We start from the raw sequence: 19,961 nt of genomic DNA on the forward strand, positions 1-19,961 counted from the left end.
ACCTTCATCTTCTGTTTCTGCTGTCTCTTCTCTCCACCTCATATAGGAGTATGGGATGGATGGAGTCTGGGGACTCTGATTCTGGTCTGGTCCTATAGTCTGTGTTAGTGATGGGGAGAGGCCAGCCTCTGGGGTTTGGGGCTACTAGGGAATGCATTGGTGTATCTTTGTAGAATATTCACTGCATTTAAAGGGACTGTGATTTACATTCTGGACTTGGATCACTGGAACTAGAAGACTGTCTGCTTCCTGACAGGGTAGGGTTTTATTTTTATTTATTTATTTATTTTTTTGAGACAGAGTCTTGCTCTGTCACCGAGGCTGGAGTGCAGTGGTGCGATCTCGGCTCACTGCAACTTCCGCCTTCCGGAATCAAGCAACTCTTCCGCTTCGGCCTCCCATGTAGCTGGGACTACAGGCGTACGCCACCATGCCCGGCTACTTTTGGTATTTTTAGTAGAGACGGGATTTCTCCATATTGGCCAGGGTGGTCTTGAACTCCTGACCTCATGATCCGCCCGCCTTGGCCTCCCAAAGTGCTAGGATTATAGGCATGAGCCAACGCGCCTGGCCATTTTTATGTTTTAAGACAGGGTCTTCCTCTGTTGCCCAGGCTGGAGTGCAGTGGCACCATCTTGGCTTAATGCAGTCTCGGCCTCCCAGCGATTCTCATGCCTCATCCCGAGTAGCTGTGATTACAGGTGCGTGTCACCACACCTAGCTAATTTTTTTTGTATTTTTAGTAGAGATGGGGTTTTGCCATGTTGGCCAGGCCAGTCTTGGACTCCTGGCCTCAAGTCATCTGCCCGCCTCAGCCTCCCAAAGTGTTGGGATTACAGGCATGAGCCACTGTGCCTGGCTTTCTTTCTTTTTTTTTTTTCTCATAGGGTCTCACTCTGTCTCCCAGGCTGGAGTGCAGTGGCATGATCATAGCTCAGTGCAGGCTTGAACTCTTGGGCTCAAGGCGTTCTACTGCCTCAGCCTCTCGAGTAGCTGGGACTACAGGTGCGTGCCACCACACCAGGCTGATTTTTTGATTTTTCATAGAGACAAGGTCTCACCATGTTGCCCAGGCTGGTCTCAAACTCCTGAGCTCAAGCAGTCCTCCTATCTTGGCCTCCCAAAGTGCTGGAGATATGGGCATGTACCACTGCACCCAGCTCAGGGTAGGATTTTTGACGGGGGAGGAGTTAGGGACCTGCGACCTGGTGCCTGTGGACAACTTGTCCTAACCCAGGTGATGGCAACAGAGTTCCCAGACACTCTGTCCATCTGGAGCCTGGGCTCATTGGAGGGTTGGAGGTGGGGGCTGGGGCCTGGCCCCATCCTTGCCCATCCTGGCCAGAGGGAGCAAATGCTTTGCCTTCCCCTCCCCTCAATGTTGCAAGCTTCTTCCTCTTTCTTAGAGGTGGGTGGGGAAGGCTTCCCATCCTGGTAACCTTCTCCCCAAATGTGGGTGGGGTGCCCACATTTCAGGCAAGTGTAGCCTTCTTCGGCTTTCTCCACCCAGGTTAGGCAATGCCCCCTTCCTGCCCCCTCCCTCTGTGAGCCTTTTGGTTTCCCTGCCCCTCCCCTCTCCCTAGTAAACAACAACAACTTCTCTCCCTGCCCAGACCCTTAGCTTCTGAGCTTCTCACTGACCTTCCTCTTCTCTGGGACAAGGTGTGGCCATGGGTCTGAGGGAGCCTGGCATCTCCCTCCTTCTGCAGAGCCAGGGCTGCCTGGTGGACAGAGCTCCTGAGCTCTGAGTAGGAAAGCATGGCAGATAAAATTATCACATGCCTGGCCTCAGAGATGGAGGCAGTTTAGCCTTCCCTGCTTGCCTGGCCTTAGGGCTGGTGCTGAGGGTGAGGCAGTTCCCAGGAGAGGTGGCAATCCATGGTCCTCCATTCCTGCAGGAGCAGTGGTATGCCCCAGTCTGCCCATACCCTTTTTGTAGGAATTCTTGCTGATGAGGCTTCCTACTCCCATTCCCCATCCAACAAAGGTGTTGGGTCCCTCCTCCCCCTCATCCCTTTCCCCAGGTGGGGAGGAGGCAGCACATTAGGTGGCCTGGGTGCGCCCTTCAGAGACCTAGTAGCCTATGGGACCAACAGAAACCCTCTCCAGGTCACTGTGGGGAGGGCTGTGTATTTGTTCTGCTACAGCCAGGGTGGGAGCCCTAGAGATGGTCCGGCGATTCTCCCCGCCCCCTAAACTGGCCCCTGGGGCTTGGTCTCTGAAGACTGGTGTTTACTGTGGAGGTCTCAGATTCTGTGTGCACTACGGGTCAGGGCTGTGTGTGTTTTGGGGGTGGGGTCACGGTTGGGTGTGTGTTGGGAAGGGGATTAATGACTTGTGTGTATTGGGTGAGAGGGTTAGAGAGCTGAGTGTGTTTTGGGGGAATTAAATCCAGAGCTAAGGAGGGAGAGTCAGCCTGTCTGTGTGTTGGTGTTGGGGCTGGGAGGGGGAGTGACTTAGGGCACAGAGTGTTTAAAGAGGAGTGGTCTTTCGTTTGGGTTCTTAACCTTTCTTGGCTGGAGGGGAGAACTGATCTGCCTTTTTTTGTTCACCCTGGGAATTCCATGGGCAAAGGGGTCTGACTGGGGGCTGTGGAGTAGGCATTTAGTGCTGAGTTTAAAACTTGGACACTGGGCTGGGCGTGGTGACTCATGCCTGTAATCCCAGCACTTTGGCAGGCCAAGGCGGGCGGATGACCTGAGGTCAGGAGTTTGAGACCAGCCTGGCCAACATGGTGAAACCCCATCTCTACTAAAAATACAAAAATTAGGCAGGCGAGGTGGCACGTGTCTGTAATCCCAGCTACTCGGGAGGCTGAGGCTAGAGAATCGCTTGAACCCAGGAGGCAGAGGTTGCAGTAAACCGAGATCATGCCACTGCACTCCAGCCTGGGGGATAGAGCGAGCCTCTGTCTCCGAAAAAAAAAGATAATAAAATAAAACTTAAGACACTGGCTGCGTGCAGTGGCGCCTGCCTGTAATCCCAGCACTTTTGGAGGCTGAGGTAGGGACTTCAGCCCAGGAATTTGAGACAAGCCTGGACAACATAGTGAGACCCTGCCTCTACCAAAGAGAAGAAATTAGCCAGGTGTGGTAGCGTGTGCCTATAGTCTCAGCTACTCGGGAGGCTGAGGTGGGAGGATTGCATGAGCCTGAGAGGTTGAGGCTGCAGTGAGCTATGATCACGCCACTGCACTCCAGCCTGGTGGGTGACAGAGCAAGACCCTGTCTCAAAAACAACAACAACTTGGACATTTATGTCACATACAACTTGCTGATAACCTCTCTGAGCATGTTTCTTTTTTGTTGTTGTTTGTTTTGAGACGGAGTCCTGCTCTGTCGCCCAGGCTGGAGTACAGTGGTGCAATCTCTCAGCTCACTGAAACCCTCTGCCTCCAGGTTCAAGCGATTCTCTTGCCACAGCCTCCTGAGTAGCTGGGATTACAGGCGCCCGCCACTATGCTGGACTAATTTTTTTGTATTTTTAGTAGAGATGGGGTTCCTCCTTATTAGGCTGGTCTTGAACTCCTGACCTCAGGTGATCCGCCCACCTCGGCATCCCAAAGTGCTGGGATTACAGGTGTGAGCCACTGCACCTGGCCAAAGACATTTATTCATTTATTTATTTATTTGTTTTAGACAGAGTCTAGCTCTGTTAGCCAGGCTGGAGTGCAGTGGCACGATCTTGGCTCACCGCAACCTCTGCCTCCCAGGTTCAAGCCATTCTCCTGTAGCCTCCCAAGTAGCTGGGACTACAGATGCATGCCACCATGCCCGGCTAATTTTTTGTATTTTTAGTGGAGATGGAGTTTCACCATGTTAGCCAGGATGGTCTCGATCTCCTGACCTCCCAATCCGCCTGCCTCGGCCTCCCAAAGTGCTGGGATTACAGGCATGAGCCACCGCGCCCGGCTTGTTGTTATTTTTTTGTTTTGTTTTTGAGACGGAGTCTCATTCTGTCACCCGGGCTGGAGTGCAGTGGCTCGATCTCGGTTCACTGCAACCTTTGCCTCCCGGGCTCAAGCGATTCTCCTGCCTCAGCCTCCCAAGTAGCTGGGACTACAGGCGTGTGCCGCTACGCCCAGCTAATTTTTGTATTTTTAGTAGAGGTGGGGTTTCACCATGTTGGTTGGCCAGGATGGTCTCCATCTCTTGACCTTGTGATCCGCCCGCCTCGGCCTCCTAAAGTGCTGGGATTACAGGCATCAGCCACTGTGCCTGGCCGTGACCCAGACCCTTTGTAGGTGGGAGCTGGAGAGAATGGGATGCTAACATCTATAGAGCACCTACTGTGTGTCAGGGGCTTTGTCTGTGTTTTACAAATTTTAATCCCTGCAATCCTGGAAGAGGGACATTATCCCCACTTACACAGAGGACACAGTGCTGGGGGAGGTTAAAGTACTGCAGAATCATGACTGTAGGATTGTAAAGCTGGGCTGTTTTCCACCATCTACATAGGCAGCTTTGAGAGTGGATTGTGGGGCACACTCTTGGGTGTGGGAAGTGTGGGGGGTGGGGCTTAGTGCTGACTGAAACCCCCTTCCCCACTGTAGAGGCCCTTTCTCTGCCTTAGAACCTACCTTTCCCCGGTAGGGGGTGTAGGGAAGGCCCAAGCCATACCCCCTCCTCTCTGTTTTGGATCCTGAAGGCTGGAGAGAAAGAAAGATAAGGGGCCTGGGCCAGATCTCCATCCTGTCCTGGAAGCTGTGGATACAATCTGTTCACACCATCCCCACCCCCAAATCTGCCCGCTGTAGCCCACGGGAGTTTGCAGAACTCAGCGGGCACCCTCCCCCCGATCTCCAGACACTGAAGGAACAGAATGTAAAAGCCACAGTTCTTATTCTTAATTTGTTTCAATTTGTGGATGGAGGCAAAGAAGTTGCAAGCCATCAACAGAGGAGCCGGGGATGGGAGCCCCAAAAGGGTGGCTGCATGTTTGCTTCGTGTGCCTAGAGACTGGGGAATGCCCGAGGGTCTGGGTGAGCCCCAGCAGAAGGCAGAAAGGAGGAGGTTGTGTCCTTCCCTTCTTCCTATCCTCTGCCACTTCCTCGCTGTTGCAGTCTGTGCATACTGCCTCCTTCCCTGCTTCCCACTCTTTCCCTGGACAATAGGAGGGACAGCCCAGGCGGAGGGACAGCCCAGGCAGAGGGACAGCCCAGGTGGAGGGAGTGCTGCCTAGCAATGCCTTTCTTGGAGTCCGAAATGTAGAGTCAGACAAAAGAACATGACATGGAGTTTTTAATGAAAATGGGGTCCCTCACCTTTTATCTCCCAGCAAGGATAATGCACAGGTTCCCTCTGGACAAGATCCCAGCATAGACGCGGGGAGGGAACTCAGGGAAGGAAGCCCGTCTTCCTTTTAGGTGGGTCAGGGCCGAGGTATTGTGTCTACCCCATGCCAAGGGATGTGTTGCTTATGGGGCTGTACCAGTGCAGGCCTGCCTGCCCTTTGAGGGAGTAGTGTCTGTGGGAAGAGGAAGTGGTTTCCATCTCTAAGTCATTTTGGGGCAGTGCCTTCTTCCTCCTCCTCCTCTGTGGAGTTGGGGCACAGCGAGGGATTGGGCCTCCCAGGGTTGACTGGAGGCCACTCAACCTTTGGCTGTCAGAAATAGAGGTGCTCCCCTCCCCATTTTGACTTCTGGGTTGCTGGAAACCTCAACCAGCCCACAGACCAAGGGCCTTCCATGGGCAGGAGTCTTAAAGGACAGTTCTTCCTGTGTGGCCTTGGGCAGGTCACCCAAGCTCTCTCCAAATCTGTTTCCTCCTCCTTAAAGCAAGACTTCTGGCTGGGCACGGTGGCTCACACCTATAATCCCAGCTACTCGGGAGGCTGAGGCAGGAGAATCACTTGAACCCGGAGGTGGAGGTTGTAGTGAGCCGAGATCGCGCCATTGCACTCCAGCCCGGGTAACAGAGCAAGACTTGGACTCAAAAAAAAAAAAAAAAAAAAAGCGTGGGCACGGTGGCTCATGCCTGTAATCCCAGCACTTTGGGAGGCCGAGGTGGGAGGATTGCTTGAGCTCAGGAGTTCAAGACCAGCCTTGGCAAGATAGCGAAATAGCGAAACCCCATCTCTACAGAATATACCAAAATTAGCTGGGCATGCTGGTGCACACCTGTAATCCCAGCTACTTGGGAGGCTGAGGCATGAGAATTGCTTGAATCCGGGAGGTGGAGGCTGCAGTGGGCTGAGATCACACCACTGCACTCTAGCCTGGGTGACAGAACGAGACTCTGTCTCAAATAAATAAATAAAAATAAAAAAATAGAGCAAAACTTCTAATCTCTCCTTGGCTGGGCGAGTTGCCGTTAGGCCACGGTCGCCTGCTTCCTGCTGAGGCCCTTGGTGAGTTTCACGTACCCAGCAAGGCTGTGATAGTGAGGGGCAGGGTAGAGCTGGGTACTGTCTTGGGGGATGGTGCCACTCTATACTGGGAGCCAGTGTCCACCTGGCACTGGGCCTCATGATTTCCTGTTTGTTGTCCCCTCCAGATGGGGTTGGGGACAGGAGGGGGCCCTGCCTGGCACAAGTGGGGGCCAGTTTGGCCTGCACCTGCTGAGGGCTTACTAAACGCAAAGCCCTGAGAAGGAGCTGAGGGAGGGATAAGGCTGAGCAGGATGGGGCCCCAGGCCTGCAGACAGCTGCCGCTGGAGGCCCCCCAGCCCCAGCTGCGGGCCAGAGCCTTCCTTGTTTCCCACTTCTCCCACTGCCCCAGGACACTGTGTTCTGCTCTGACCTGCCCCATGACCTTGCTGTTGCCCAGAACGGGCCTCTTGCCCTAGCTTCTCCTCTCCAGCTCCGGAAATCCTATCTATCCTTCAAGGAACATCTTGAATGCCGCCTCTTCCCAGAAATCTTCACAGATGTTCCCCCTTGCTTGCCACACTCTGCCTCCCTACTTAGAATGCCTGTGGGTCCTTATTTATTTTTTAACAACACTCATCTCGCTACCCAGAAGTTGCTTCTCCCCTGTTCCTGCCATGAGCTGTAACCATTTGGGACATCTTTTCCTGACCACAAGGTCTTTGATGGCAGGGACAGAGTCTCAGGTCCCTTAGCGCCTTGCAGCTGTGAGCGCAGAGCCTTGCTCCATCATTTGAAAGATCCCGAAGGCATGGAAGCACTCTGTCCTCTTCGCCATTAGTCTCATCCACTGTCAAGATTTGCATACCTGCCCCCAGACCCCAGCATTCCATCTGTAGCCCTGACTGCACTTCAGGGCCCCACATCCACCTGTCCAGCAGCCCAGTGGACTTCTCTGCTTTGCAGTCTCAGGAACTTCACTGATGCGTAAGTCACACACAAGTCTCTTTGCTACCTCTTTTCCCATACCCCTTACCCCCACCCCCCCACGTTATTTGTACCTTTAAAATGTTTATTGAATCCACCTTCCTCTGTCCATCAGCACTTCCAGTTTCCTAGGCCAAGCCACCCTTGTCTGATGCCTGGACTGCTGCAGTAGCTTTTACCTGGTCTCTCTTGCCCTCCTATAATCCATTCTTCACACAACTACTGGAAAGATCTTTTTACACTGTAAATCTGATCTTTCCTTTGCTTGGAACCTTTCTATGGCTTTTCCTTGCATTTAGGATAAAATCCAAAAGCCTTACTGAGGCCTATAAGCCCCCCTGGTCTGGCCTGAGCCCACCTCTCTAGCCTGGTCTTGTGTACCTTTTCCTTTTGAATTTTGTGCCCCATGATTCTAGCCTTCTGCCAGTTCCTTCAATGAACTCATCAACTGCTGTAACCCCAGGGCCTTTGCACAGACTCGCCCTTTAACTGGAACTACACTCCTTTCTACTCTTTGCCTGATTAACTTACAAACTTTCTCTTATGGTAGGTCTGTTTTATTTGAGTTCTTCCCTAATTTAGTTAAACCTAAATTAGGTACCTATGTTAATTCTTCAGAGCATAATAGCATTTATCTCAGTTTGCAATTGTGTGTGCATACAGTGATTATTTGCTTAATGGCTGTTGCTCCCTAAGGTCTACAAGGGCAGGTTCCCCAGGGTGTCCACATAGAAGGTGCTCAGAAAAATACCTTGAATTGGCCTAGCTTGGTAAGAACATGGGCTTTGGCAGCAGGAAGTTCAAATACCTGCTCTACTCTTTATTATTAGTAATGTGATCTTGGACAACCCACATAGCCTTGCTGAGACCTGTTTTATTTGTAAAACATCTCTTGGAGTTGCTGTGAGGATAAAATGACAACATATATAAAGAGCCAGGCTTCTTCTAGAAGAATGTCCTTGGGTAGCATGTACATTTCCATCCTTCCTTTTAGAGAGTGGGGGTAATAGGATACCCCCTCCTCCAGGGGTATCCCCTCTTTCTAGGGACCTACCCAAGCTAGGCCTTTCTTCCAGTGAAACGTGCATCCCGAGGGCTTCTAGGATGAAGTAGTCCACTGGAAGGCACCAGCTCTTCCTTTTATCTCTCCAGAGCTGGACAGTGCACCAGGGGCCGGTACTGGTTCCCCAGCTAGGAGACACCTTGGGCGGGGCTTTGCTCGCCGGAAGCACGCAGAGCGTGGGGAGGAGGGCCCCCTCTGCCTGTGTTTGTGCCAACAGCACCCGCGCTGCCGCGTCGGGTTCCGGCGGCCGGAGTCACACATGATGTCACAGACAATGACACAAGCCGGTGTCTCATTCCGACACAGCGTCCGAGCTGCACAATGTCACACCCGGGTGCCAAACACTTGGCCCCGCGCGACCCGGCCCTACGCCTCCTGCCGCCGCTCTCCGCGTCTCCGGGGGAGGTGGCCCGGTTCGGCCGGGCAGGGGGCTGGCGGGCGAGCCCCGCGGGCGGGCTGGCGAGCGGGTGATGTCACGGGCAGCGGTGGGTGGGTCACTCGGAGGTGAGGCGCCGCCAGGCGAGTTCAGCGAGAGTTCAGCCGCATTGCATTAGGCAAATGAGGCCCGGCCTGGGTGGGGGTGTGTGTTAAGGGGAGGACACCGGGACCACCCCCCTCTTCCCCGCCCCACCACCTCCTCCACCACGGCTTCGCTCGGCCAGGGACTGACCAAACCTTGGGGGAGCCTGGGAGCCGGAACTGGTACAAGGGAGGACGCCCGCCCCTCTTCCGTCCTTGTCCCCTCGCAGCCCCCTCCTCTCCCTGTACTCGGCGTCCCTCTGTACTCTGTGTACTCCTCATCTGGAGCCTTTCCCCCTTCCTGCTTCTCTCCTCTCCTCCCCCTTCCCAGGCTGCCCCCACTTGCCTGTCCACATGCCGCCTCTCCCTCTCGGTTCCCTGCGTTTCTCCCGCTGCAGCCGGACGCGCCGGGAATGGGTTAAGCCAGGGGCGGTGCCTGGACGGGGCGGGGCGGTGGAAAGGGGGTGGTGCCCGGAGGGGAGGGGGCGCGCAGAGCTGGGGTGGGGGGGCCGTGGCGCGTACCACCAGAGACCGAGCGAGTCGCCAGCTGCCCCTGGCCTGGCGGGGGCGGAACCGCGCGGGATCCCCACCCCCACCCGGAATCCTCGCCACGGAGAATCCCTGGAGAAGCCCCGGATCCCCGGCTGGGAGGAGGAAGTGCTCGTTGACCCCCAGCCCCGCGCTGATCCCGCCCCCGGCCTGCGGACTTGGGGAGCCGCTGTACTCTGCCTCGGACGCCACGAGACTCTAGACGGGAGTCCCCTCGAGGTGAAGCCGCTGAGTTCCCGGGCCCCGCCAGGCTTCCCTGGGAGAGCCGACGGACCCCCCCTCCCAGCACACACAACTTCCCTGCTTTTCACCGGGACTGGCGGAGCGGCCGGCGGACTTAGACGCGGGGACTTCAGGGCAGGGGGCGCCCCCTGCCCGGGTCACCAGTCGGGGCGAGGGGACGTCTCCTCTCCCCCAGCTGCTCTGCTCGGATGGCGCCGCCGGCTGAGTGACGGGGGCGGCGCGCAGGACTTCCCAGCTCGGACCTCTTGCCTTCGAGGGGAAAGATGTACGAGAGTGTAGAAGTGGGGGGTCCCACCCCTAATCCCTTCCTAGTGGTGGATTTTTATAACCAGAACCGGGCCTGTTTGCTCCCAGAGAAGGGGCTCCCCGCCCCGGGTCCGTACTCCACCCCGCTCCGGACTCCGCTTTGGAATGGCTCAAACCACTGTACGTACCGGCCTCTCAGTCTGCTGTTGTAGGGGGTGGGAGTGGGCGGTAGGGCTTCCACTACTACTCGGGGGTGAGAGTCCCGGGGTGTAGTGGAGGTCCTGTCTCTACCTTTCACTTAACCCGTGTTGCCCTTGCTGGACAATTGAACCCTCCCGGCCGCACCCTCCCCCCAGTAACCCTAAGTGCAATTTGTGTTAGATTAGGGCTGAGGAACTTTGAGAGTTCCTTCTTTCAAGCAACATTCCTTCATCTCTTGTTTCACTTCTTCCAGGAGAAATGAAGCCCAAGCCCCTTGCCCCCAGTTTATATCTTCTTGCCTGGAATCCAACAGCTTCACAGCAGGCTGGAGGGTGGGGTAAAGGTCCTGTCTGTGTGGGTTTGTCTGCTCCCGGGGGAAGGCCCCCCCGCCAGATCCCACTTGCCAAAGCCCGAGGGAGAGCCCCTTCCTGTGCGACAGCTGCTGCCCCCAGCCCTTGCTCTTGCGTCATTAGAGTGGGTGTCAGGGGAGCACTCAGTGTCTTTGGTATTGACAGTGGGGTGTGGCAGAAAGGGGCAACTTCATCAGACACCCGTCTGCCATCCTAACCTTCCATCTTGGCAAGGGGCACTGGGTCCTTATGGGGTTGTTGTCCTGGCCCCAGACACTTGGCTGTCATCTTTGAGGCTTTCATCCCCAGGAGTGGAGGGGAGAAGCTGCTCTGGTGAGAAGAATCCCTCTCCCCCTAATCCTAATCCGGTTTGTTCTCTGGGGAATGAGTTTGTTTTTGTGGGTCTGGGGCTGCTCTGGAAATGAGGACTGCATCCCTTCCCAGCTCCGCCACCGAGTCCTTTTGTTACCCTGACTTCACTTGGGGATAGGGCCAGGTCCTGGGCTGTGCCTTCCTAAGAGGGGCACTGATGAGAATCCTAGCATCCTGGCAGCCTGGTCACTTTCTCTCCTTGTTGCCCCCTGCCTGGGTGCAGGCTCCTCTGGGAGGAAGGGCTCTGTGCACACTCAGGAGCTCGGAGCACCAGGGTGTACACCTGGGCATTTTCCTGCGCAGCTGTGAGGCAGTGTACACTGGGTGGGCGGGAGCAGGCGCAAGGGGGTTATTGTTAGATGGCTCAGGTTTCTTCCCCTCCTGGGCTTTGGGCTCTTTGCTGGAGGGGAAGCTCTTCCGTGGAGGATCTCCCACCTTCCTGGACCTGCTGCCTCCCTCCTGCCTGCCAGGGAGGAGGGGTGGAGTGGGTCTCGGGGGGGCCCTGGCAGATTGGAGAAGGTTGAAGGGCAAAGGACTTACCCCACCCCTCTTGCTGGGAGAAGAGAGACCTGAGATGGACAGACAGCCCACCTCTGCCCTCCCAGAGCCACTTCTATCCCAGCTTTTCCTATTGTCCTGCCCCCGACCATTTCCTCTAGGGCCGAATCTGCTGTGTGGCTGTAGACACAAGAGGGAAGGTATCACCCTTGACTTTGGAAGAAGAGAGAGTGAGAGGATGACTCTAGGACCCTTTTTCTCATTCTCCCAGTGCTGGAGCAAGACCCCCCTCCCCTAGGGGGATAGTTGGAGCAGGGCTGCCAGAGTCACCCCTTCCACTGCCTTGGCCACCTTCTCCAGAGGGCTGGAGAGAAGCTGGGATCTGAGACCTTGGTCTCCAGCCCCTGTCTCTTCTTAGCCCATGGGGACAGCTCAGCTCTTCCTGGCCCAGAACTGGAGAGGGAGGAGGATCACAGAGAGTAGGACAGGCAGTGTATTGGTGAGCCCTTCCCCTAAACCACTGGACATGGGGAAGTGGAGACCTGTCCCCACATCCATTCTGGGGTGGGGTAGTAGACCTAGAGGCCTGGGTTTCCAGTTCCCGTAGTCTGAGCGTGGGTGTGCATATATAAGTGAGTGAGGTGTCAGTGGACTCGGGTCCTGAGGCTGTGAGGTTGGGAGTGATGGGGGTCTGGGGGCTTGCCTTGAGGCACAGGAAGGACCCGGAGTCTGAGGGTGGCAACTAGACTCAGTCTAGAATATGTGGGGCCAATGCCACCACCTTGGAAGGGTCCCCTTGGGTGTGTGGAAGTCCGCTGGTGACTGGAGCTGCCTCCAGCCCCCTCTTGGGGAATTCTCCACTCTCCCCTTTACTGCCACTGAAGGTGGGAAGAGCAGGTTGGCTCTGGGAGGAGGTGGCCTGGGTTCTGCAGGGCCCTAGGGACATTGCCTCCCTCCCCAGAGCCCTCATTTCGGTGCATTAGAGGACAAGGGGGGTGCACAGGATGTGGCTCCCCATCTGTCTCCCACCAATCTCCGCCACTCACACCTCCGCCCGCTCCCAGACGTCCAAGAATGTGAAGCACGTGGATGCCCGTAGTTGGGGGAGGGGGAGACGCTTATCAGGCGGCCGCTGGGCTAGGGGCCTTCTTCCGCTGCCGCGGTACACCCAGAGCTACCCCCGCCTCTCCCCGGGAGGAGGAAGGACGGTACAGAGGGCCCTACGCCCCCTCCCCAACCATCCCCAGGGGCTGCGAGGGGAGCTGCGGAGGAGCGGGCGCCAGCTGGATTGGGAGGGGAGCCGCTGGCCGGGGGCCCGGCTGATTTCCTGCTGATCTCCTCCAGGAAACCGGCCCCTTGTGCGAGCCTGCGAACGGCTCGGGGGCGTGGGGAATCCGGAGTGGAGCGCTCTGCGCCGCCCGCCCTGCCAGGATGGGGAGCGAGGGAGGGGCACCCTGGCAGCGTCGGCGGGAGGGGACGCCTGGCTTCCTGGGTCAGTTCCAGTCCTCTGTTGGGCGCTGGAACTTTGAGCTGAGAAGGTGTGGTCCTTCTCTAGCCCGAGTCCTTCTGCAGGAAGAGGAGAGATTGGTGGGCTGGGCCTCTGGGGAGGGAGGTTAGCAGGGATGGGCCAGGCCCGGGCAGTCCCTCCCCCGTTGGTGTCCCTCCCCACTCCACCTGTGTGTGCAGGGAGTTATGGCCGTGTCCTAACTCTTGCAGAGGCTGTGAGGATTCCGGAGTTCCCCACACCTCCGGCCTTGGTCCTTGTACCTCACCTCCTTGGACTGCTGGCTGGAGGCCTGGGGAGGTGGGGCATCGAGCTCTGGGTTCAAAGGGCAGAGCAGGGAAACCTCAGAGCTGGGTTACCTGGGTGACAGGTGGGGATGTGCTGGAGGTAGGGGGCAGGCTATGTTACAGCCTCCAAGGCAGTCAAGCTGCCGTTGGGTGGGCTAAAAGGAGGCCTTGCCCAGCCTAAACTGTAGTCCTTGCCTCTGGTCATCTCTCCCATTCTGCCAAAAAATAATTTTAAAAAGCACATTCTCTCAGTTCCGTAAACACCCTCTGTTGGACTTTGCTTTAGCTCCATGTTTTTATGGCTTTTTGCCCTCTAGTCTGTCCCAGGCCTTAGAGCTGTTTACCTCTCATCCTGGTATCCCCCATGACTCCCCATACCCTAGCTCCCCTCGTGACATCCCGCTCTGTACCCCCAAAGCTCCCTCAGTCCTTTCTCCCTCTCCAGTCTGGTTCATTTTAGAAGTGGGGCCTTGGGAGAGGCGGGGCCCAGGGCAAACGGTGGATTAGGAGGGGTGGGGAGGTCAGTGCCTTCTTCCTCTGCTTGTCGGAATGCTGACCAAGATTCTAGGCCATGGTCCCCCCAACCCTCCACATACCCCCTTGCCCTTGATCTCCCCTCCCCCCACCAGTCTGGATTGTCTATTGTTACTGCTTTTACGTCTTGGAAAAAGTTAGCACAACAAAGGGCTGCTTTGTGGCTCACCCCCTCTGCCTCCTGGCCTCACCCAGGCCCCCCAACCCCGCCCCCCCAGCAGCTGTTCTCAGGCCTCTCAGCCTGTCTGATTTGCTTGTCTGGCCTGGGGAGAATGAGGTGGGAGAAAACCAGGCCAGGGCAGTTGGTGTTGGAGTGAAGAGCAGACGGCGGTGGGGAGGTCAGGAGAGAATCTGCTGGGCTGGGGATGGTGTGGGCATCAACTGTCCCATTGCTGCAGGCTGGTCTTGGGGCAGGGAAGGGGATGGGGGGCCATAGCAGTGCTGGTCAGCCAGGCTGGCCTGGGAAGTGGTGCCCAGGCACTACTAAGAGCCAGGAAAGCCCTGCCAAGGTTGTTGGCCTAGTTCCCTGTCATCAGCCGCCTAGCAGCCCCCACTGTGTCTGCAGGTAAGGGGGGAGGGTGGTAGCACATAGTCAGCCCCTGGTGTTCCCATGCTTCCTTCCTCTGTGCCCCAATTTTAGGGCCATGTGATTTGGGGCTATGTGACTCATGTCTGTAAGGTGCTTGGGCCAGGAGCTGTGGGCACCTTTAAATGCCAGCCAGTCTCATGTGCCGGAGTTTGGGGTAGGGCTAGGTAGGATTGTGGAATATGGGAGGAGGCAGGGATCTGTCTACCTAGGGAGGCATCCTCATCCATCCTTGGCCCTGGACAAGAGAACTTGAACGTTGGTAGGGGCCTCAGGACGATGCTGCGTGGCCCCTTGGGAATCTGGGATTGTCCTGGTCATAGTTCTTATCTTGCACCCAACACCCTTAGCTGCCCAGGCTTTGGACATGGATAGCCCCTACCCAACCCAGCCCTGTTCTGCCTACAGTGATGGGCATGGAGCCAGACACTGGGGAGGATTTGGCCAGTGAGGGCTGCCCCTGCTGTCTGGGTCACCCCTCCTGGCTGCCCTCTTGGAGCTGAATAACAGAAGGGGAGGGGTTAGTAACCCGGACATAGTATTGAGGCCAGACAGACAGAGCATTGATGGGAACAGACCCCCTTTGTCATGCCATCTCTCCCCAGATGGGGGGTACCCAGAATAATGGGCTTTTGGGGCCCTGGGGACTCTTCTCCCTGTATTCAGGGTATCTCCCCCTATCTCAGGGAGACACCTCCTACTGTGCCCAGCATTTGTGACTCTTCTTTGCACCCCCTGCCTTGGGTCCCTGGCCCTGGGATTGTTTGGGTGGAGGAGGGGCAGTGGCTGCTGGCAGAATGGGGTGGAGGGGGGAGCGGAAGCAGAGGGGGCGGGGGAGTGGCCGGCTTTGAATATCCTGTTGACCCCAGTTTCCTCTGCCCCCAGCTTATGTCCTCTTCCCTCCCTCCTCTTCAAGCGTTAACTCCTTCCTAACTCGGGGGGAGAACGGGGCCAGGCCGCCCAGGGGCAAGAGCTTTAGAATCAGGGTGACCCCCACCCCTACTCCCCAAGCACAGTCACGGCACACATACAAATGTGATGGTTTATCATTGTATCTTTGTGGTTTTGAAGGTGGGGGTCCTAGGAGTCCAGAGGAGTGATGGGGTGCTGGAGGCTTCATTGGCAGCCTCCTGCCCTGAGTCTGGCTGGGGAGTCCCAGTTTTCTTAAGACTTGAATCCTGCCAGCAGTGGTGAGGCTGGGAGAGGCTCTTAGGAGGGACGGTGAGGCAGGGTGGAGCTTGGTACTAAGGATGGCGACCTAGGTCTCTAACTGCCCCTCCCCTCTTCTCTCTCTAGCCATTGAGACCCAGAGCAGCAGTTCTGAAGAGATAGTGCCCAGCCCTCCCTCGCCACCCCCTCTACCCCGCATCTACAAGCCTTGCTTTGTCTGTCAGGACAAGTCCTCAGGCTACCACTATGGGGTCAGCGCCTGTGAGGGCTGCAAGGTGAGTTGAAGGGGTCATTGGGAAGGACAGCTTGATGAGGTCAATGGGATGTCCCCACTTCTGTGTCCTGGGAGTGTGCAGTTGGGGGGTGTCCCTGAAGTTGCTGCTCTTCTTTCTCTGTGGAAGTTGGCAGCAAGCAGGGACACCTACCACAGTTTCCCCACAGGTCCTCCCCCATAAATGTGCAGGGCTCCCTCAAACCAGAGGTCCCCTCCTGCCTCAGCTCCTTTCCCTGTCTCTATCCTCCAGCTGGCAGGGCGTACGCCTGCTCTGCCACCGCTGCCCAGGTTGCCATGGTGAGCTGGCTGCCGACTGGCTCTTGGCTGGGGACCCAGGAGGCCTCCCCCGGCGGCCCTGCCTGAACCTCACCATGGCAGCCTGGCAGGAGGCAGTTAGGAGCAGGCACCCTGCCTTAGCTTCCCCTTCAGGTGCCCGGGCTGTGGGCTCCCCAGTGTCTGGCTGGATTTCCCCATCCTCACGTTAGGTGCCAGGGTGCAGGTATACCTGGTCCTTAGCAGCCCTGCGCCCGGCTTCTCCTCCTTTCCCTGGGGCCTGAGCCTCTGTGTGCGTTTCTTCCTCCAGAGATTGGGGCTCAGAATCTTCACAGCTTTGGGCCTTGCAGCTCTGGGCTGCTCTTCAGCCTGGAGTAGCTATCCCCAGATGTGGGACGGAGGTCAAGGGCAAAGCACAAGGACTCAGGCTGTGTGTCTGCCTGTCCTGTCTGGTTGTTCCTGGTCTGTTCTTCCTCTGTCCGCCTGTCCCTCTGGTCAGCCTGTATGTGGAGCCCCTGGCCAGCCTGGGTCTGTGTCTGTGATGGGTCGGTGCACACCTGTCTTGGTGAACTCACATCTTTCTGCCTTGCTCCTGAGTGCATGTGTGTGTTCGCCTCCATTTCTCTGGCCAGCCCGTGTATCTGCCTCCTGGCCTCTTCGGGCTTGTCTTCTTTTCCTGTGTTCTGAGTTCAGGGGTGTGGGTTCCAGATCCCTGGCTGTTGCCCAGTTAGCCCCATGTCTTCCTATTTCTGACTCACCAGCAGCCCTGAGGTCTTTTCCCTGGAAGGGAGGAGTCAGGTGTGTGCTGTGGGTTGGGGGAAGACTCCTGCCCATCCTGCAGTGTTGAGGCAGGTACTGGGATTCTCCTGAGGAGGATCCTTTTAGGTGAATCATTCTCCCCAGCTTTTCTGGCCTGCTCAGGTAGGCGATGGGCAAACGCTTGGGGGCAGCAGCTGGCCTGGCCCTCCTCCCCTAGACTGAGACCGTAGCCAGGCACTGCTCCCACTGTGGGTGTGGACAACCTGACTCCCTCCCCTCCATACCCAGGGCTTCTTCCGCCGCAGCATCCAGAAGAACATGGTGTACACGTGTCACCGGGACAAGAACTGCATCATCAACAAGGTGACCCGGAACCGCTGCCAGTACTGCCGACTGCAGAAGTGCTTTGAAGTGGGCATGTCCAAGGAGTGTGAGTGCCATAGGGCAGGGGCCGAGTCCCGCCTCAGTTGGGGTCTCAGATGCTCCTAAAGACCAAGGGAGCAGGGCTCTGTGGATGTTTGTGCACATGCATGAACACGCATGCCGTGGTGTGCGGGCTCACGGTTGAGGATGGTTTGTGTGTAGCTGCAAGGACCTGTTTGCGAGTCTGGCTGGCTGTGTGTCCACGGGCAGGTCTGTGCTCCGGGACCGTGTATGTGTAACCATTCCTGTTTCTGCACGTCTGGCTGTGTGTGCTTGCGTATGTGTGTGTGTGTGCATGCTCCAGGATGGCTTTCTTCCAGGCCGTGCTTGGTTTTGGGGTGGGGCTCAGAGGCATAGGCAGTCCCTTCTGATTGTGAGTCTTAGGGGAGGGGCTTGAATTCTGAGGGGTGCTTGGCTGGACTTATGTGTGTATGGGGGGGTGGAAGGGCTGGCACAAGGATCCAAAAGCCATTGTCTAGTTAAGCCTGGGATTCAGAGTTGGAAGAAAGAATTGGGACTTCTCAGATCCCAGAGGAAACGGGGTTTCCACTTTGGGCTCAGCTGAGGCCTGATGGAGGGAGGGAGGGAAAGGCTGGACAGGGAGACCCTCTTGTGTTGAATCATGGGTGTTGCCATGGTGACCGGTGATTGATGATGTCAGAGATAAATGACGCTGACAGACGCCTCCTTGTCTGCGTGGCCGTTGCCATGGAGCCTGAGCCTTGGGGGATGGGATGGGGGAGGGGGCTGCAGGACCCCCTAGCCCTTTGTGGGGAGGGCAGTGGGGAGGGGGCACGGGTGAGATGGTTCTGACTGTTGCACGAAGAGCCCCAGACAGGAATGGAGGGGACTGGAGTGTCCTGCCACAGGAGGCTGGGGGTGCCTTGTCCTGAGCCCAGGAAGTGGCTCCTGCTGCAAGAGTGGGTGACAACTCAAGACCCACAAGCCTGGAACCCTTCGCTTAAGGGCTGTCACCTCCTCCTCTCTGTTTGTGCCACCTTCTGCTCTTTTCATGGCAGAAGGACCAGGGAGGGGACCCCTTCTCCCTCCCACCGCCAACTCCCCTTCTCCCTCCCACCGCCAACTCCCCCTCTCCCGGCTGCTCTGTGCCCCGGAGCTGAGCAGCTGCCATTTCAATAGAATTAAAGCTTCCGAATGATAAACGTCTTGTCACAGCTGCAATTTTCTCTTCCCAAATTATCCCCCCACTCTCCCTCTCCCTCTCCCTTCTCTCCCCTGCACTTTATTGAATTTGCAGAATCGACATGAGTGATCTCCAAATTATGCCAGCTACCCCCACCTCGCTACCCCCTCCCTGAGCCCCTCCCCCACCCTCCCTTCCTCCCGCGTCAGCAGCCACCACCACCAGCCCTGTGAGTGATTGTGTGTCTGGATAATCGGCTGGTAACGACCCCATCGCTTCTTTAAAGCCGAGTGGTGTGTGCGGCTCAGCGCCCCTGGTGATTTGTCAGCTCCCCAGCTAATGGGCCAAGAGATTCTCCCCGCCAGGTCCCCCACTCTCAGGCTGGGGAGCCCTACTCCCCACTTGCCCCAGGAGCTGCTCAGAGCCAGTCCCAAGGGACCCCCAGGGAGACTGCAGCTGGGAGGGCTGGGTGAGTGGAGGCGGGAGAAGGACCTTCCTGGGGAAAGAGGAGGCAGAGCACCTAGGAGGGCACCGTCGCCTGGAGTGTGAGCTGGAGTAGACGCGTGGGGGATAGCATGCGGCTGGCTATGGGGTGGGGTGGGGGGTGTGTGCAGGGCCACAGCTGTGCTCATGGGGCTTCTGGGGCAGAACTTGATGTGTGGGTTGGGTGGGCATGGAGGGCTGGAGTGCGTGGCAATGCCTTGCCTGCCCGTGAACGCGTGCTGTGTGCGCGTGCTTACAAGCCTGGGTGACCTCCTCAGCAGCTGGCAGCTCTCTGTCAGGCTGGGGGTGGACGAGGCCCTGAGCAGCCTGCAGCTGCCCTCTTAACCCCCTCTGCCCTCCACAGCTGTGAGAAACGACCGAAACAAGAAGAAGAAGGAGGTGCCCAAGCCCGAGTGCTCTGAGAGCTACACGCTGACGCCGGAGGTGGGGGAGCTCATTGAGAAGGTGCGCAAAGCGCACCAGGAAACCTTCCCTGCCCTCTGCCAGCTGGGCAAATACACTACGGTATGGCTTTCCCCCGGCCTGCAGGGTGGGATTTGCCCAGGGCCACAGGGCCAGGATGGGCCCCTCTCAGGCACCCCTTCTTGTGCCAGGCAAGATCTCTGCGTCCTTCCCTTCCCCTCTCTTCTCCCTCCTCCTGCTGCCTCTTCCCAAGGAGCTCCCAGGAAGTGAAGGCTGGGTAGAGGGCAGGCCTGTGGGGGCTGGAGCCAGGCTGAGAAGGGGTGCCATGGAGAAGAAGGCCCTCACTCTCCCTCCTCCCCCAGAACAACAGCTCAGAACAACGTGTCTCTCTGGACATTGACCTCTGGGACAAGTTCAGTGAACTCTCCACCAAGTGCATCATTAAGACTGTGGAGTTCGCCAAGCAGCTGCCCGGCTTCACCACCCTCACCATCGCCGACCAGATCACCCTCCTCAAGGCTGCCTGCCTGGACATCCTGGTGAGGGTCTGCACCCTGGCCCCCAGGCACTGCCCCTGTGTCCTGGGTAGATGTCCTTCCAGCCAGACAGCCACCCTCCTAAATGTCTGTCTGCAATCAACCTGTCCAAATGCCCACCGCCCAAATGTCTGCCCTTCCTCTCCCCATATGTCCACCTGTCCACTCGTCTCCCTGTCCACTCAGCCACCTAGCAGCCAGATGTGCAGGAGCTCACCTGTTCACCCATAC

The 19,961-nt window shown here is 57.2% G+C and overlaps 1 protein-coding gene and 1 long non-coding RNA gene across 13 annotated transcripts in view, besides 9 other annotated features; one reads left to right on the forward strand and one right to left on the reverse strand.

Moving 5' to 3' along the window:
- The window catches only part of RARA (retinoic acid receptor alpha), a 48,464-nt gene that overhangs the window by 23,595 nt on the left and 4,908 nt on the right, over positions 1-19,961 (forward strand). For 8 of the 12 annotated variants that reach the window (XM_011525095.2, NM_000964.4, NM_001145301.3 and 5 more), the window contains 4 exons: positions 15,542-15,690; positions 17,010-17,151; positions 19,136-19,296; positions 19,557-19,733. In XM_011525095.2, coding sequence (XP_011523397.1) covers positions 15,542-15,690; positions 17,010-17,151; positions 19,136-19,296; positions 19,557-19,733 — 629 coding nt within the window. Of the gene's footprint in view, positions 1-4,545; positions 7,294-8,615; positions 8,842-9,391; positions 10,094-15,541; positions 15,691-17,009; positions 17,152-19,135; positions 19,297-19,556; positions 19,734-19,961 lie in introns of those variants that run through there. The other 4 variants (XM_011525096.2, XM_005257552.6, NM_001024809.4 and 1 more) reach the window with 4 other exon arrangements.
- On the reverse strand, positions 8,093-10,362 carry RARA-AS1 (RARA antisense RNA 1). The gene is made up of 3 exons (NR_110861.1): positions 10,102-10,362; positions 9,222-9,916; positions 8,093-8,926 (listed from the first exon to the last, which is right to left on the reverse strand). It is a non-coding gene; the product is annotated as an RARA antisense RNA 1 (long non-coding RNA).
- Positions 8,640-9,218: an enhancer, noted in NCBI's record as "H3K27ac-H3K4me1 hESC enhancer chr17:38497666-38498244 (GRCh37/hg19 assembly coordinates)". NCBI's record gives its function as "activates a minimal SCP1, AML or CMV promoter by ChIP-STARR-seq in primed H9 embryonic stem cells {active_cell/tissue: H9 hESC(primed)}" and the evidence as "EXISTENCE:reporter gene assay evidence [ECO:0000049][PMID:30033119]".
- Positions 8,721-8,950: a silencer, noted in NCBI's record as "silent region_8485". NCBI's record gives its function as "represses an Ori minimal core promoter by ATAC-STARR-seq in GM12878 lymphoblastoid cells {active_cell/tissue: GM12878}" and the evidence as "EXISTENCE:reporter gene assay evidence [ECO:0000049][PMID:35858748]".
- Positions 9,254-9,804: an enhancer, noted in NCBI's record as "H3K4me1 hESC enhancer chr17:38498280-38498830 (GRCh37/hg19 assembly coordinates)". NCBI's record gives its function as "activates a minimal SCP1, AML or CMV promoter by ChIP-STARR-seq in naive H9 embryonic stem cells {active_cell/tissue: H9 hESC(naive)}" and the evidence as "EXISTENCE:reporter gene assay evidence [ECO:0000049][PMID:30033119]".
- Positions 9,291-9,340: an enhancer, noted in NCBI's record as "active region_12144". NCBI's record gives its function as "activates an Ori minimal core promoter by ATAC-STARR-seq in GM12878 lymphoblastoid cells {active_cell/tissue: GM12878}" and the evidence as "EXISTENCE:reporter gene assay evidence [ECO:0000049][PMID:35858748]".
- Positions 9,805-10,354: an enhancer, noted in NCBI's record as "H3K4me1 hESC enhancer chr17:38498831-38499380 (GRCh37/hg19 assembly coordinates)". NCBI's record gives its function as "activates a minimal SCP1, AML or CMV promoter by ChIP-STARR-seq in naive H9 embryonic stem cells {active_cell/tissue: H9 hESC(naive)}" and the evidence as "EXISTENCE:reporter gene assay evidence [ECO:0000049][PMID:30033119]".
- Positions 11,455-12,005: an enhancer, noted in NCBI's record as "H3K4me1 hESC enhancer chr17:38500481-38501031 (GRCh37/hg19 assembly coordinates)". NCBI's record gives its function as "activates a minimal SCP1, AML or CMV promoter by ChIP-STARR-seq in primed H9 embryonic stem cells {active_cell/tissue: H9 hESC(primed)}" and the evidence as "EXISTENCE:reporter gene assay evidence [ECO:0000049][PMID:30033119]".
- Positions 12,006-12,555: an enhancer, noted in NCBI's record as "H3K4me1 hESC enhancer chr17:38501032-38501581 (GRCh37/hg19 assembly coordinates)". NCBI's record gives its function as "activates a minimal SCP1, AML or CMV promoter by ChIP-STARR-seq in naive and primed H9 embryonic stem cells {active_cell/tissue: H9 hESC(naive and primed)}" and the evidence as "EXISTENCE:reporter gene assay evidence [ECO:0000049][PMID:30033119]".
- Positions 12,556-13,106: an enhancer, noted in NCBI's record as "H3K4me1 hESC enhancer chr17:38501582-38502132 (GRCh37/hg19 assembly coordinates)". NCBI's record gives its function as "activates a minimal SCP1, AML or CMV promoter by ChIP-STARR-seq in naive H9 embryonic stem cells {active_cell/tissue: H9 hESC(naive)}" and the evidence as "EXISTENCE:reporter gene assay evidence [ECO:0000049][PMID:30033119]".
- Positions 12,711-12,760: a silencer, noted in NCBI's record as "silent region_8486". NCBI's record gives its function as "represses an Ori minimal core promoter by ATAC-STARR-seq in GM12878 lymphoblastoid cells {active_cell/tissue: GM12878}" and the evidence as "EXISTENCE:reporter gene assay evidence [ECO:0000049][PMID:35858748]".

The sequence above is a fragment of the Homo sapiens genome, chromosome 17, assembly GCF_000001405.40.
Source record: "Homo sapiens chromosome 17, GRCh38.p14 Primary Assembly".
NCBI classification, from domain to species: Eukaryota; Metazoa; Chordata; class Mammalia; order Primates; family Hominidae; genus Homo; species Homo sapiens.